This window comes from Homo sapiens, chromosome 20 (assembly GCF_000001405.40).
Source record: "Homo sapiens chromosome 20, GRCh38.p14 Primary Assembly".
In the NCBI taxonomy this organism is placed as follows: Eukaryota; Metazoa; Chordata; class Mammalia; order Primates; family Hominidae; genus Homo; species Homo sapiens.
The window spans coordinates 47801736-47815594 of record NC_000020.11 but is presented as its reverse complement, the minus strand read 5'-3'; the positions used below and the strand labels follow the sequence as shown (position 1 = coordinate 47815594).

Genomic DNA, 13859 nt, shown 5'->3' with positions numbered 1-13859 from the left:
TATTGATTGGTTTTATATTGAGTATTATATGGCATCTGATAACATTCTCATGACCTTCCTTCCTGGCTCCACAGTGTCATGTGTTTTTTATGCTGGGATCAATTCCATTCCCTGGATTTGACATTTCCCTGCAGAAACGCAGGCTGGGAAGGGAGCTCTGAGGTCATCCCCCATCTTTATCACAATCATCAGCCACAGATGTCCCTGAGTCCAGGGCAGGTGCTGGCCCATCATCCCGCAGGTGGTTCCACTCTATACTCTACAGAACATGTGCTTCCCATTCCATCTTCCAGCATCTGCTGACCCTGAATGGCTCCCCAGCCTTGCCCTGGCCTCCCGTCCTGGTCATGAGCAGCCCCTTCCCCACACAGCAGTTAGAAGGATCCTTCTCATGCTGAATCAGCCCTGGGCAGCTCTCTGACCACAACCTTCCAGTGTCCCCATCACGGGACTGATGGGCCAGGCCCTGCCCCCTCTCAGCTCCTGTCTCTGCCCAAGCTCCCCTCACACCTGCCCTCAGTCCCTCCAGCCTCCCTGCTGTGTCCAACCACCACCCCCTCTTACTCCCAGCTTGTCCCACCTCAGATCCTTCTACCAGGAGTGACCTTACTTAAATATGCCCACCCTCCACTGGCTCCTCCTCATCAGACAAGGCAGGTCAAGTGACACCACCTCAGGAGCCCTCCCAACTCCCAAGTCCAATGTCGGCCACACTCTCCCATCTGTCATGTCACTCTCCCTTGCTTCATGGGTCTAAGATGGCTGCCAAACTCCAACCATCACACTGACATTCCAGATAGCAGGAAAGCACAAAAGATAAAGAAGAGAATACCTCTGTCTTTAAGGACACACCCTTAAAGTTGCACATGATGATTTTGCCTACTTTCCCACTGTCTAGGACTAAGTTCCCTTGCCATGCTTAGCTGCAAAGGGGCTGGGAAAGGTAGTCATGACTCTGGGTGACCATAGGCACAACTGATAGTCAGCAGTAGTTCTATTACTAAGGAAGAAGGGGAAACAGCTAATCTGTTAGGGAACCACTTGGACTCCCTGCCACTGCCACCTACTGACTATTTCACCTTGGGCAAGTTACTGGGGATCTTTGTTGTGAATCTCAGATTTCACATCTCTGATATCAAATGCAAACTCAGAAGATCCAGCCTGTTCTGTCCCCTGTCTGTCCTTGTGGTCACACCTCTTTCCACTCCCCCACCTGATTCACTTTGCTCCCAGAGCACAGGACTCCTTTGTCTCAAATCTGCCAAGCTCATTCCTACCCACAGGGCCTCCGCATTTGCTGTTCCCTAAGCATGGAACTCTCTTCTGATCATTTTTCCTAACTGTGGTAAATTACACACATAAATTAACCACCTTAACCATTTCTAAGTGTACAGCTCAGTGGCATTAACTACATTCACACCATTGTGCTACGATCACCACCATCCCTCAACAGAACTTTTCATCTGGCAAAACTGAAACTCTGTATCCGTTAAATACGACTCCATTCTCCTTCCCCTCAGCCCTTGGCGGTCACCATTCCACCTTGTCTTTATAATCTGACTACTCTAGGTACCTCCTATAAGTGGAATCATACCGTATTTGTCCTTTTGTGACTGGCTTATTTCGTTCAGCATAAAGTCCTCAAGCTTCATCCGTGTTGCAGCATGTGTCAGAATCTCCTTCCTTTCTAAGGCTGAGTAATATTCCATCGTAGGGATATACCACATTTTCTTTATCTATTCATCTGTCAATGGACACGTGGATTGCTTCCGTCTTTTGGACATTGTAAATAATACTGCTATGAGCCTGTGTGTACAGATACCTCTTCAAGTCCTTGCTTTCAATTTTTTGGGGTATATACCCAGAAAGGAATCGCTGGACCACATGGTAATTATATGTTTAATGTTCCGAGGAACAGCCATACTGTTTTCCATATGGGTATACAATTATACCCCCATGGTATACCCCTATAGTATACAATTATACCCCCATGGTAACCCCTATGGTATACAATTATACCCCCATGGTATACCCCTATGGTATAATTCCATAGGGTATAGCCATAGGGGTATACAATTGACATTTCCATCAATAGTGCACAAGGGTTCCAGTTTTTCCACACCGACACCAACACTTGTTAGTTTCTGTTTTCTTGATAGTAGACATCCTAATGAGCATGAGATGGTATCTCATTGTGGTTTGGGTTTGCATTTTTCTAATGATTAGTGGTGCTGAGCATCTTTTCTTGTGTTTATGGGCCATCTGTATATCTTCTTTGGAGAAATCTTTATTCAAGTCCTTTGCTCATTTTATAATAGGGTTATTTCTTTTTTTGTTGTTGAGTTGTAGGAGTTTGTTTTTAATATCCTGGATATTAGCCCCTTATATATATTTCAAACATTTTCTCCCATTTCATAGGTTACCTTTCACTCTGCTGTGTCTTTAGATGCAAAGTGTTTAATATTGCTGTAGTCCAATGTATCTATTTTTTCTTTTGCTGTCTACACTTTTAGTTTCACATTCAATAAATCGTTGCCAAATCCAATGTCATGAAGCTTCTCTCTTATGTTTTATTCTAGGAGTTTTACAGTTTTAGGTTTGTGTTTAGGTTTTTTATCCATTTTGAGTTAATTTTTATATATGATAAAAGGTTCTTTTGTATGTAGATATACAGTTTTTGCAACACCATTTGTTGAAGGGACTGTTCTTTCTCCATTGAGCGGTCTTAGCATCTTTGTCGAAGATCATCTGCCCTACATGTGAGGGTTTAATTCTGGGCTGTCTGTACTGTTCCCTTGGTCTACACACCTATCTTTATGTCAGTATGATACTGTTTTGATTACTGTAGCTTTGCAGTAAGTTTTGAAATCAGGAAGTGTGATGTCTCTAACCATTCTTCTTTTTCAAGATTGTTTTGGCTATTTGAGGTGCCTTGAGGTTCCATATGAATTTTAGTATAAATTTTTCTATTTCCACAAAAAAATTAGAATTTTGATAGGGGTTGCATTGAATCTATAGATCGCTTTGGAAGGTAAGGGCATTTTACCAGTATTAAGTCCTCTGATTCATGAGCATCATCTGGTGTCTGCATTTATTTGTGTCTGCTTTAATTTTTCAGCAATTTTTATAGTTTTTTATAGTTTTTGGTACAAATCTTCTGCCTCTTCAAATTTATTCCTGTCTTTTATTCTTTTTGATGCTATAGTAAATTGAATTGTTTTCTTAATTTTCTTTCTGAATTGTTCATATTCACTGATTTTTGCACATTGATTTTATATCCTGCAACTTGTCAAATCCACTTATTAGTTCTAACAGGGGGATTTGTAGAATCTTTAGGGTTTTCTGCATATAAGATCATGTCACTTGAGTACAGAGATAATTTTACTTCTTCCTTTCCAATTTGGATGCCTTTTATTTATTGTTCTTGCCTAATTGCTCTGACTAGGAGTTCCACTGCTATGTTGAACAGAAGTGCTTCTTCCACTAGTTTTCGCTCAGTAGATTCCTTCTCTGCATTCGAGTCTCAACTCAAATATGATCTCCTAACAGACAGCAATCCCGGACGCTCCCTAGTCCCCAGTCCCTTGCTATCACATCAACACACTTTATTTTCCACCATTTAGTATGATCTGAAATTACACTGTGTATTTGTTTAATTGTTCATTTCCTGTTTTGCTTCCTGCACGGGGGTTCCATGGGTACAGGGACCTGTCCTTCTTGCATGCCCCATGCCTAGGATGGGGTCTGGCACAAAGACATTCCTTGATAAATGTTTGTTGAATGAATTGGTCAAAGATGGGACTGAGGCACCAGCAGTTGTAGGCTCCCATGCCCCTGGCAATGCTTCCTTCTCTCAAGAGTTTTCTTCTCTGCCCGCCCACAAAACGTCTTCATCCAAATAGGTTGATTCCTTGCCATCCTCTACAATTGCTCTGAGCGACTGCAGTCGGTCATCTAAGTGGGGATGCATAGCAGTGGCCCAGGATTAGAGGTGCAGAGGACATGCCTTTCTTATCAGGGATAGTCCTAATAACAATATCTTATTTACAACTCACTTCACAGCCTGCATGTACTTAAGCATCTGCCATCCCTGAAAGAGAAAGATAAACACAATTGAGACATTTAGGCAGAAAATGAAGGGAAGATGAAAAGGTTTAAAAATGAGCAAGGGATGCATTTTCCAGCATTGAATGAGAGCATAGGTTTCTTCCTGGTTTCAAGATAAAAGAGAAAAACCTGAAGGAGAAAAACACTCAAAAAAGGTGATGCTTTATCCTGAAGATTAGCCCACAGCAGACTGTCAGGGAATCTATAGTAACGGAGACTCTAGGATAAATTTTTTTAAATTAAGAAGCAGAAGGAGAAAAGGCAGCAGCCCTGAGCCTCGACTTTGGAACGTCCTCCATCCGTCTGCGTCTGTCATCAGCTGGCAGAGTGGGTGCATGGCAGGGGGAGCCAGGGCCATTGTTCCTCCCCTCAGCCCTTTCTGCTCTCAGTTTAGGGATAACCAATGTTTGATGGCTTGTCTCTCAAGAGCGATTAGAAGCAAAGCTGCTCATTACAGGCTAAATCTCAAAGCGCTCCTACAGAAATCTCACTTCCTAAGCCCAAAGCCCTGATCCCGGGCTGCATTTTGACAAGGCTCATCTGTGACCCTGACCGGCACCAGCGGACGACGATGGGCTGACACACACAGCACTTACTGCGGGCCGGGGACTGCAGTTCTGAGCTCTCCGGGTGCATGAACTTGCTTAATCCTCACTGAGCTCAACGATGCTATTGGGATTCAGCTCACAGATGAACAGAGCCGGGCTGGGCAGAATCAATGCTCCCTGGGCCCATGGCTGCAGGACAGCGGAGCCACTTCCAGGACCCCTGGCCAGCACCAGGCCCACACCACTGACCACTGCCCACTGATGGTGCTCTTGACAGAAAAGGGGCCTCAGTGACAGCCCTGATACCAATATTGCTCCAGATGCCTCTTTCCAGGAAAAAGTCCTCTTCTGAGACAGTGAATCCAGTGAACCAGACTTTTCCAGGGCTCTCAGAATTTTGGCTGCATTCCCACAGTTAGAAGTGTTGGAACCAATTTGTTCTAAAGAGAGTGTGGAAATCTCTATGAAAGCCACCAGTCACCACCCTAACATGAAAGAGGGACATTCGAAAGGAGATTTCTAGGAGGGAATTAGCAGGAGGAGACACTTTGGCCCAAGACAAAGAGCAGGGCTTCGAGAAACCACCGGCAGAGGCTGGGCTACTCTCCAAGCAGGACAGCATCTCTCAGACTATTCTTCCCCCAAGAGTGCTGGGAACCTCCGAGGGCAGAGGGGATGCTGGACTGGACCCATCTGGGAAGGGGTCCGCTGAGTGGGGGTTCCCTAAGGCTTTACATGGGGCAGGAATTGAAGGTGAGGTTTGCAACAAGGGGTGCATTCCCAGCGCCCCAGTGTCTGAAAAGCATGCAGTATGGAGCCCCAGCGTGTTTCTGAATGCTCCTCTCCCACCGTCCCATGCACCTATTTTATGTCAGGTACCGTTGAAGCAGATCCTGAGAGGAGGACCTTCATGCAAGGACTGGATCTAGGATCTGCACCAGAGAAGACGAGAAAGGGGTAGGGAGAGGGGATCAGGAAGAGCAGGAAGCCGGGCCAGGGTGCGGCCTTAAGCCAAGCCCCTTAGGGAGGGAGGCAGGCTTCAGCCCACCCTGCAGGGGAATCCAGCCCAGGGTGTGAGTCACAGCCACTCCTTGTCCTGCCTCAGGGCAGGGAGCTGGGCTTCCGGACACCTGCACTCCAGACACAACCAGCTCTCTGTTGAGGCAAGGCAGATCCAGGAGCCCCAGGGCCATCCTCTTATGAGAGCCAGAGCTGTGGCCCATGGAGGGGAAGGAAGGTACAGCCACCAGGGCCAGGCGATGAACACAAAATGCAGAAGAGAATCCCAGGGCACAGAGGCTGGCACCCCCGCTGGCCGCTCCTTATTTCTCTGCTCACTGCCTGTGGGACCCTCAGCCTGTCGCGCGCCCTCCCTGAGCCTGTTTCCCCAGCTCCAGAGTGAGAATCGTCATAACTGCCCTGACCTCCAAGGGCTGCCATAAAACCAGGAGAAACTGTCCAGAAAACCCAGCACAGCTGGGACCAGCAGCGGGCTCATTAAGAAAGCTAAATATGCTAAAGTGGGTGGGGAATCCAAAAAAAAAAAAAACCCGTTTACACTCACAGCTTTATACAGTTAAAAGAAAACATGCAACTCTCCTATAATTGACGAATATTTTCATGCCAGGGCTAATGACTTTCTTCATAATGTGGGCCTGCTGTTGGATTCTCCCATTGTCTTTGTTCTTTATATAATTCTACAATGTTCAGTTTTGGCTTCTTTGAAGTGGAATGAGGGTATGAAAACACTTGCCACGCAATCCGGGTGCAGGATCCTTCCACACCAGCATTGTCCAGTAGAAATAGAATGTGAATCACAAACATAATTTAAAATGTTTCAGTAACCGCATTAGGAAAAAAAAACTAAAAAGAAACAGAATAAATTAATTTCAATGATATATTTTATTTAACCCAACATACCTAAAATATTATTTCAACATACAATAAATGTAAAAATGAAGGTCATTTACATTTTTCATTCTAAGTCTTCAAACTCTGGTGTGAGTTTTACCCTTCCAGTGCACCTCCATGTTTATCAGATATACTTGACTTCTATTTCGATTTTAGAAATTTGACAGCTGAAAAAGTAGATTCACATAAACAACTATCCCCAAACATATTTAAAAGCTTTCCAATAACTGAATCACATATCAGTTTTTAATCATTTAAATTAATTAAAATTGAACAAAATTAAAAATTCAACTTCTCAGTCACATCAGCCACATTTTTAAAAAATATTTTTTAAGTTAGAGATGGAGGCCGGGCGCGGTGGCTCAAGCCTGTAATCCCAGCACTTTGGGAGGCTGAGGCAGGCTGATCACCTGAGGTTGTGAATTCGAGAGCAGCCTGACCAACATGGAGAAACCCTGTCTCTACTAAAAAAAAAATAAAAATACAAAAAATTAGCTGGGTGTGGTGGCACATGCCTGTAATCCCAGCTACTTGGGAGGCTGAGGCAGGAGAATCACTTGAACCCGGAGGCGGAGGTTGTGGTGAGCCGCTATCATGCCATTGCTCTCCAGCCTGGGCAACAAGAGAGAAACTCAGTCTCAAAATAAATAAATAAATAAAATTAAATAAAATTAGAGATGGGGGTCCTGCTATGTTGACCAGGCTGGTCTCAAACTCTTGGCCTCAAGCTATTCTCTCATCTCGGCCTCCCAAAGTACTGAGATTGCAGGTGTGAGCCACCACGTCCAGTCACATCAGCCACATTTAATGTGCTCAGTAGTCACATGCAGCAATGACTATTTCTTTCAACCCTTTTTTTTTTTTTTGAGACAGAGTCTCTTTGTTGCCCAGGCTGGAGTGCAGTGGCACGATCTCGGCTCACTGCAACCTCTGCCTCCTAGGTTCATGCGATTCTCATGCCTCAGCCTCCTAAGTAGCTGGAGCTACAGGTGGGTGCCACCATATCTGGCTAATTTTTTTTGGATTATTAGTAGAGTTGGGGTTTCACCATGTTGGCAAGGCTGGTCTCAAACTCCTGACCTCTCAAGTGATCTGCTCCCCTCAGCCTCCCAAAGTGCTGAGATTACAGGCTCTCCCACCCAGGCTGGAGTATAGTGGCACATTCATAGCTCACTGCAGCCTCGAATCCCCAGGCTCAAGAAATCTTCCCATCTCAGCCTCCCAAGTAGTTGGGACTACGGTTGTGCATACCACACCCAGCTAATTTTTTTTTTTTTTTTAAGTAGAGACAGAATCTCCCTACATTGCCCAAGCTGGTCTTGAATTCCTGGGCTCAAGTGATCCTCTGGCCTCAGCCTCCCAAAGTTCTGGGATTACAGGCATGAGCCATGGTGCCCTGCCTGCAGCAATGACTATTATATTGGGCAATTACTGGGCAGTTCTCAATATTTTTCTGATCTCTTTTTCAGCTTTTTGCCCTTAAGAGATCTTTCCAGACAATTCAACTTGGTGTTCATAAAAACAGCAACTCCCTTTCTTTTTCCCCTCCTAATTATCCGTTTGCTATGTTTACTAAGTTTTGCAATTGCAATGCCAGGTATATCCAGAGTAAACAGGTTTGGAAACAAACCCCTGAATTTCAGCAGGCAGAGAACACGATGGGCATTTCAGAGAGTGGCAGATAGCCCCAAGCTGTGGGCTTGTCCCTCTACTTACAGAGGAACGGAGGGCTTGGAAGCATCAGGGGAGTGAGTTAAGGGAGTTGCACAGAGAAGATTCTACTCTGCATTGAAAGCTCTAATTTCAGTGAGTAGCACGCAAAAAGTAATTGTTGTCATCTCTGCTAGTCTAAAAGCACACCACTCCACCAAAGCCCTGCTCAGACGGCTGCCTAACCAATATCCTTCTTCACGTTCCTCCTCCTGACAGAAGCCTGACTTTGTCCTGGTGTCTACCTGTTCCCCATGCAGCCCCTTGGTTCAGGGGATGCTGACGTGGTCCTCAGCTTCAGGGTCATCCCAATTAGTCTACAGTTACTACATTCAGCAATCTCCTGGTGATTGTCAGTGGTCCCGGAAGGGACACATGGGCCAAGATGGCCAATTGTACTGAAGACAAGGAGTACATCCCACACTTGAAGGAGTGATTTCTCTCTCAATGCCAGGGGACCTGTGATAGGGACAGGAGGCAGAGAAACTCTGGGCAGAAGAGGGCGGTCCCCAGCAAGGGTCCTACCCTCAAACCTGGAACCATGGCCCGAAGTGAGAACACGGATTCCTGTTTTCTGACTTGAATGTTGCCTTTCCAAAACCACACATGACACGCCCCACCCCCCATCCTGTGCCATAAAAACCCCAGGCTTCTCCAGCAGAGAAGAGGAGAAGTAGCTGGACGTTGGAGAGAAGCAGCTTGACTTCAGAGGGACGGCTTGACAGTGTTGCTTCGAAGAGGATGAAGAGAATGTTCCCCAGCGGGGAAAGATTATCTTCCCGCTCTATCCCTTTTCCATCTCCCCTTTCATCGGCAATAAAATCCTCCATATTCACCACCGTCCAATTCGTTCATGCGACCTGATTTTTCCTGGATGCAAAATAAGAGCTCAGGTGCCACAGGTGTGGACACTAAAGGCTGTCACACTGACCGTCTGCTCTCGCTGGTGGAGAGAAACAACCTCATGCAAAAAGGCAGAGGGCCCACTGAGCTGTTTAACACTTAAGCCATCCGCGGACAGCAAAGCTAAAAGAGCACTGTGACGCCCGTCCTCTGGGGTTTCCGGGTTTGCAGGTACCCCCCTCCCTTAGACGCTGCTGTGGGGCCAGCACAGAGTTTGCTCCTGCCAGCGCCCAAAGGCACTCGCCGCAGCTCCTGAACCCGCTCATCTACATGCTCCCTCCCACAAGGGGTTGAGCACAACAGTGAGTGGAGTTTGCCCTGCTGGCACCGAAGTGGCCGGGTAGCTCCAGCTTCCGATACTCCAGGTCCCACCTGTGAAGGGGTCGGGTAAAATTTCCTGCTTCACCTGGACAAGAAGACATGTGCCAGTTGCTGGTGGCAGCCACATTGTGACATCCCACAACAGGCGAGGGAGACTGGTGGTGTTGCAGAGCCACTGAATCAACCCACCCTGAAGTCCACCTCTGTTATGGGAGATAACATACTCCCTCACTGCGTAAGCCAGATTCATTAGGGGTTTCAGTCACTTGCAGCCAATAGCAAGCTGACTCACATACAATCCCTCCTAAAAAGACTTCTCTGACCCTCTCCGTTCTCTGGACCCTGCGACCTTTCTCACCGCACCAACCCACTGCATCCTGCGTGCCATTTATGTCCGTGTGTTTCTCCCACCAGCCATGGGCCCACTGAGGATGAGCTCTGTTTCTTCACTCTTCTCCTTAGCCCAGGGTTCTGCGATTAGTAGGTGCTTTGTAAATTCCATCGCACAAAAACATATTTTATTGCGGTTGCTTTAGAAAGCTGGATAGATGGGTGGAAAGCACTCTTTTGTTTTTTGTTTTTCAGAAACTCACCACTGTGATGTAAACTGCTCTGTTAGGTGACACTGCAGTACTTCTATGCCAGTAAAGACAGGTTTGAAGATGCTTTATTTCACTGGGACAAACTACATGTCCATAAATGTCCCATCCGTCTTTCTCCCACTTGATGATATTTGCAGACTCAGTAATTTCCTTTCTGCGATGAACATCCCTCTTTAACATTCAAACTCCCTTAAACAGATGTAGTGCTTTCCCACAAACCCATCTGGACAGGTGGCAGCCACGTTAAATCTCGTGCATGGGACTGCAGCACTCTGGGTACTCATGGAATCTTCTTCCATTCATTCTTGTTGTTGTTGTTGTTGTTGTTGTTGTTGTTGTTGTTGTTGTTGAGACAGAGTCTCACTATGTCACCCAGGATGGAGTGCAGTGGTGCGATCTCGGCTCACTGCAACCTCTGCCTCCCTGGTTCAAGCCATTCTCCTCCCTCAGCCTTCCTCCCGAGTAGCCCGGCTAATTTTTGTATTTTTAGTAAAGACAGAGTTTCACTATGTTGGCCAGCCTTGTCTTGAACTCCTTACCTCAAGTGATCCACCACCTCAGCCTCCCAAAGTGCTGGGATTACAGGTGTGAGCCACCAGGCCGGGCTTCTTCCATTAATTCTTTTTTTTTTTTTTTTTTTTGAGATGAACGTTCACTCTGTCACCCAGACTGGAGTGCAGTGGCTCCCTCTTGGCTCACTGTGATACAGTTCTGATGAGGGGAGGAGGGTTCTTGTCTCATGTCAAATTAGGTAAGATGACACGGACACACATGGAGCGGTTTTAAGGAGCGGAGTGTTTAATAGGCAAGAAGGAAGGGAGAAGGAAGAAGCTCCCTTGTACAGAGGCAGAGGAATGGGGGCTCCAAAGCCGAAAGAGGAGGTCCCCACCTGCCATGGATACCAGCCAGGTATATATACAGAGGCTGGAGGGGGCGGTGTCTGATTTGCATAGGGCTCAGGGGATTGGTTTGACCAGGCATGTCATTCATGGTAGCCCATGAAAAAGCTGGCCCTCCCACCCTAGTCTTTTAATATGCAAATACAGGGCGCCACAATGTTCTACACACGTGGGGATATGTGGGGGCGGCCATGTTGCCAGGAACAGGTCGGGAAAGGGCAAGAAGGCTCGCGACCCAGTTTCTAATGGCTGGCATTTGCATATCAAAGGTTGCCCGCCTGGCTCTAAGAGCCCGGGCTTTACAGAAACTTCCGGAGATGCTTTAACAAACGAAAACTTCCCAAGGACCCCTTTTCCTTTCTATCTGCCTAAAATAATTTCTTAATAACTCCTACCACAACGGCAACCTCTGACTCCCAGGTTCAAGCAAATCTCATGCCTCAGCCTCCCAAGTATCTGGGACTATGGGCGCGTGCCACCACACCCAGCTAATTTTTGTATTTTTTTAGTAGAGACAGGGTTTCACCATGTTGGCCAGGCTGGTCTCGAACTCTTGACCTCAAGTGATCCACCCACCTCGGCCTCCCAAAGTGCTGGGATTACAGGTGTGAGCCACTGCACCTGGCCCCATTCATTCTTTCCCCGCAGGGGCTGCCCATCCTTTCTAGATATGCACCCCCACCATTAGAATAGAATCCAGGTGGCGTCTTTAAAAGAGAAACCAATACTGCCCTGGGCAACTTTACGTTAGGGAAGAATGTTTTGGATTTAAATCAAAGGTTAGTGTTTAGGGTCCCTTCTGCAGGTGGGCAGGGGCCCCAGAGACTAAGGGTGGAGACACTGCTTGGCCCCAGGGTCACCTTTGGGCATCAGGGTCACACAGTGCACACTCCTGCAGGTTTGTGCAGGTTTCTGATGCCCCTTATCTTCCCTCCAAGCCGGTCACTCCCATTTAAAAAAAAAAAAAAAAAGGCACCTACAACCTTCTGGCGATTAGGCCAAATCTTAGAGTCAGCATAACCCTTCTCTTTCTCTTATTCCTCCATATCCCAACCATCTACCAAACCTGCTGGCTTTAGCTTGTGATGATGGCTACCATGCTATCGCCTGGCCACACCGCTCCGAATACGGAGGCCTGGGCGTCCATCATCCCTTCTTGACTGTGGCAATCACCTCCTTGCTGGTCTCCCTACATCGACTCCCTGCATTGATCCTGCACAATCCATGCTCACAGGCAGCCAGAGGGATCCTTTTAAAATATTAAGGCAAAATACATAAAGTCCTCTGTGCCAAACCCCACCCCATCTATCTCAGAATATGACCCAGATGTCTTTGCCATGACCCATGAGGCCCTCCATAACCTCAGCTCGAGCTCTTCTCCTTGTTCCCTCCATGCTGACCCTCCTAGAACACCCCCAGCACACTCCACCACAGGGCCTTTGCACATGCGGGTCCATCTGCCTGGAAACTTCCTCCCCTGGATGTGCACATGGAAGACTCATTTAATTCCTTCAGGCCTCTGATCAAAGGGGGCGCATCTCAGAGAGGACTTCCACATCCCCCAGTCTAAAGTAAACCCTCCAGCCACTTGATATTTCAAGTATATGTGCACACATACACACATATGTCTATGTGACTGTACTTGCGGGGGCAGGCTGTACTTGTTTTTCACTGCCCCTCCCACCCCGCCAGCTCCCCGAGAACAGGGCCTTGGTCTTTTTCATCCACAGTTGCATCGCTGGTGCCTAGAGCATGCCTGGCACGTAGAAGGTGCTCTGAAAAGAGCTGGAGTGTGATTAAACCGTGGAATCTTCTGAGAGTGCTGCCTCCGCAGAGAACTCGGGGAGACAGAAGCTGCCTGGCCCAGGGCATCTGATTCCAGGGCCTGGACTTCTTGTCTGGTGTCCCTCCAGGAAGGTGTCCCTAAGAGAATAAGTTGTACTTTCTCTTCTCAGTACAAAGGATCTTTTTGTAATTCTCTGGCATGGGAACCATTCCAGAAGCCCCAGAGTCACCAAGCTTGGCCACACTGAACACACTTCCTAGAACGAGCCTCAAATGGTTGGGTCTGCCCGTCTCCAGACACCCAGTTCCTGGACAGTCACCGCAGGCAGCTCCCCTGTCCATCAGGACAGAGCTGGACAATCAAGGTGTGGGGCTTGGTGCATCTGAGGGTTCATCTCGGGCCACCCCCGCTCCAGTGAGGAACCTGCAGGCCAAGGAGGGGACGTGACTGGCCACTGAGGGCATTGCAGGCAAAGCCGGCCAGGACCGGCTTTCTCCCAGGCCAGGGCGCTTTCCTGATGGAAGTTTCCGGAAGCCTTCATCCAATTCCATTCGTTCACTCTTCTTGCAAGTCAGCAGGGCAGAGGCAGGGGCAGCAGAGCCCCACTTGGCAAATGAAGAAACTGAGGCACAGCCAAGGTCAGTGACTCACCTTTCTTCAAAGAGCTCATTACTGCGGGGCCCCCAGTGAGTGATTACAGAGTGGGTCCCGAGCCATGGCCTGGGCTGGGTCCTGGTTCTACCACTTTCAAGCTGAGCGAATTGCTCACCCCTGTGTGCCTCGTTTTCTCACCTGCAGAACAGGTAATAAGCATAATTGACCCGTGGCTTTTACGAGCACAGTGAAACCCAGGCATCAGCAATGGGAGGAGCCCAGCCCTGGAGGCAGATGCCAGTTCCACCCCACCCGGCCCTCCGCCCACCAGCTCCCAGGCTCCCCTACCCCTCTGCAGATGGAGGTAGCGGCAGTGCCTCCCACACAGGGCAGTTGCGAGAATTCACGATGGTGTTTTGTTGATTCGATGTGTTTTCGACGCTTCTTGTTTCGTTTTGTAAATCAACTAGAGCAGTGC

General features: G+C 47.7%; 4 annotated features.

Moving 5' to 3' along the window:
- Positions 5409–5989: an enhancer, noted in NCBI's record as "H3K27ac-H3K4me1 hESC enhancer chr20:46438350-46438930 (GRCh37/hg19 assembly coordinates)". NCBI's record gives its function as "activates a minimal SCP1, AML or CMV promoter by ChIP-STARR-seq in naive and primed H9 embryonic stem cells {active_cell/tissue: H9 hESC(naive and primed)}" and the evidence as "EXISTENCE:reporter gene assay evidence [ECO:0000049][PMID:30033119]".
- Positions 5990–6571: an enhancer, noted in NCBI's record as "H3K27ac-H3K4me1 hESC enhancer chr20:46437768-46438349 (GRCh37/hg19 assembly coordinates)". NCBI's record gives its function as "activates a minimal SCP1, AML or CMV promoter by ChIP-STARR-seq in naive H9 embryonic stem cells {active_cell/tissue: H9 hESC(naive)}" and the evidence as "EXISTENCE:reporter gene assay evidence [ECO:0000049][PMID:30033119]".
- Positions 10192–11146: an enhancer, noted in NCBI's record as "OCT4-NANOG-H3K27ac hESC enhancer chr20:46433193-46434147 (GRCh37/hg19 assembly coordinates)". NCBI's record gives its function as "activates a minimal SCP1, AML or CMV promoter by ChIP-STARR-seq in naive H9 embryonic stem cells {active_cell/tissue: H9 hESC(naive)}" and the evidence as "EXISTENCE:reporter gene assay evidence [ECO:0000049][PMID:30033119]".
- Positions 11147–12101: an enhancer, noted in NCBI's record as "OCT4-NANOG-H3K27ac hESC enhancer chr20:46432238-46433192 (GRCh37/hg19 assembly coordinates)". NCBI's record gives its function as "activates a minimal SCP1, AML or CMV promoter by ChIP-STARR-seq in naive H9 embryonic stem cells {active_cell/tissue: H9 hESC(naive)}" and the evidence as "EXISTENCE:reporter gene assay evidence [ECO:0000049][PMID:30033119]".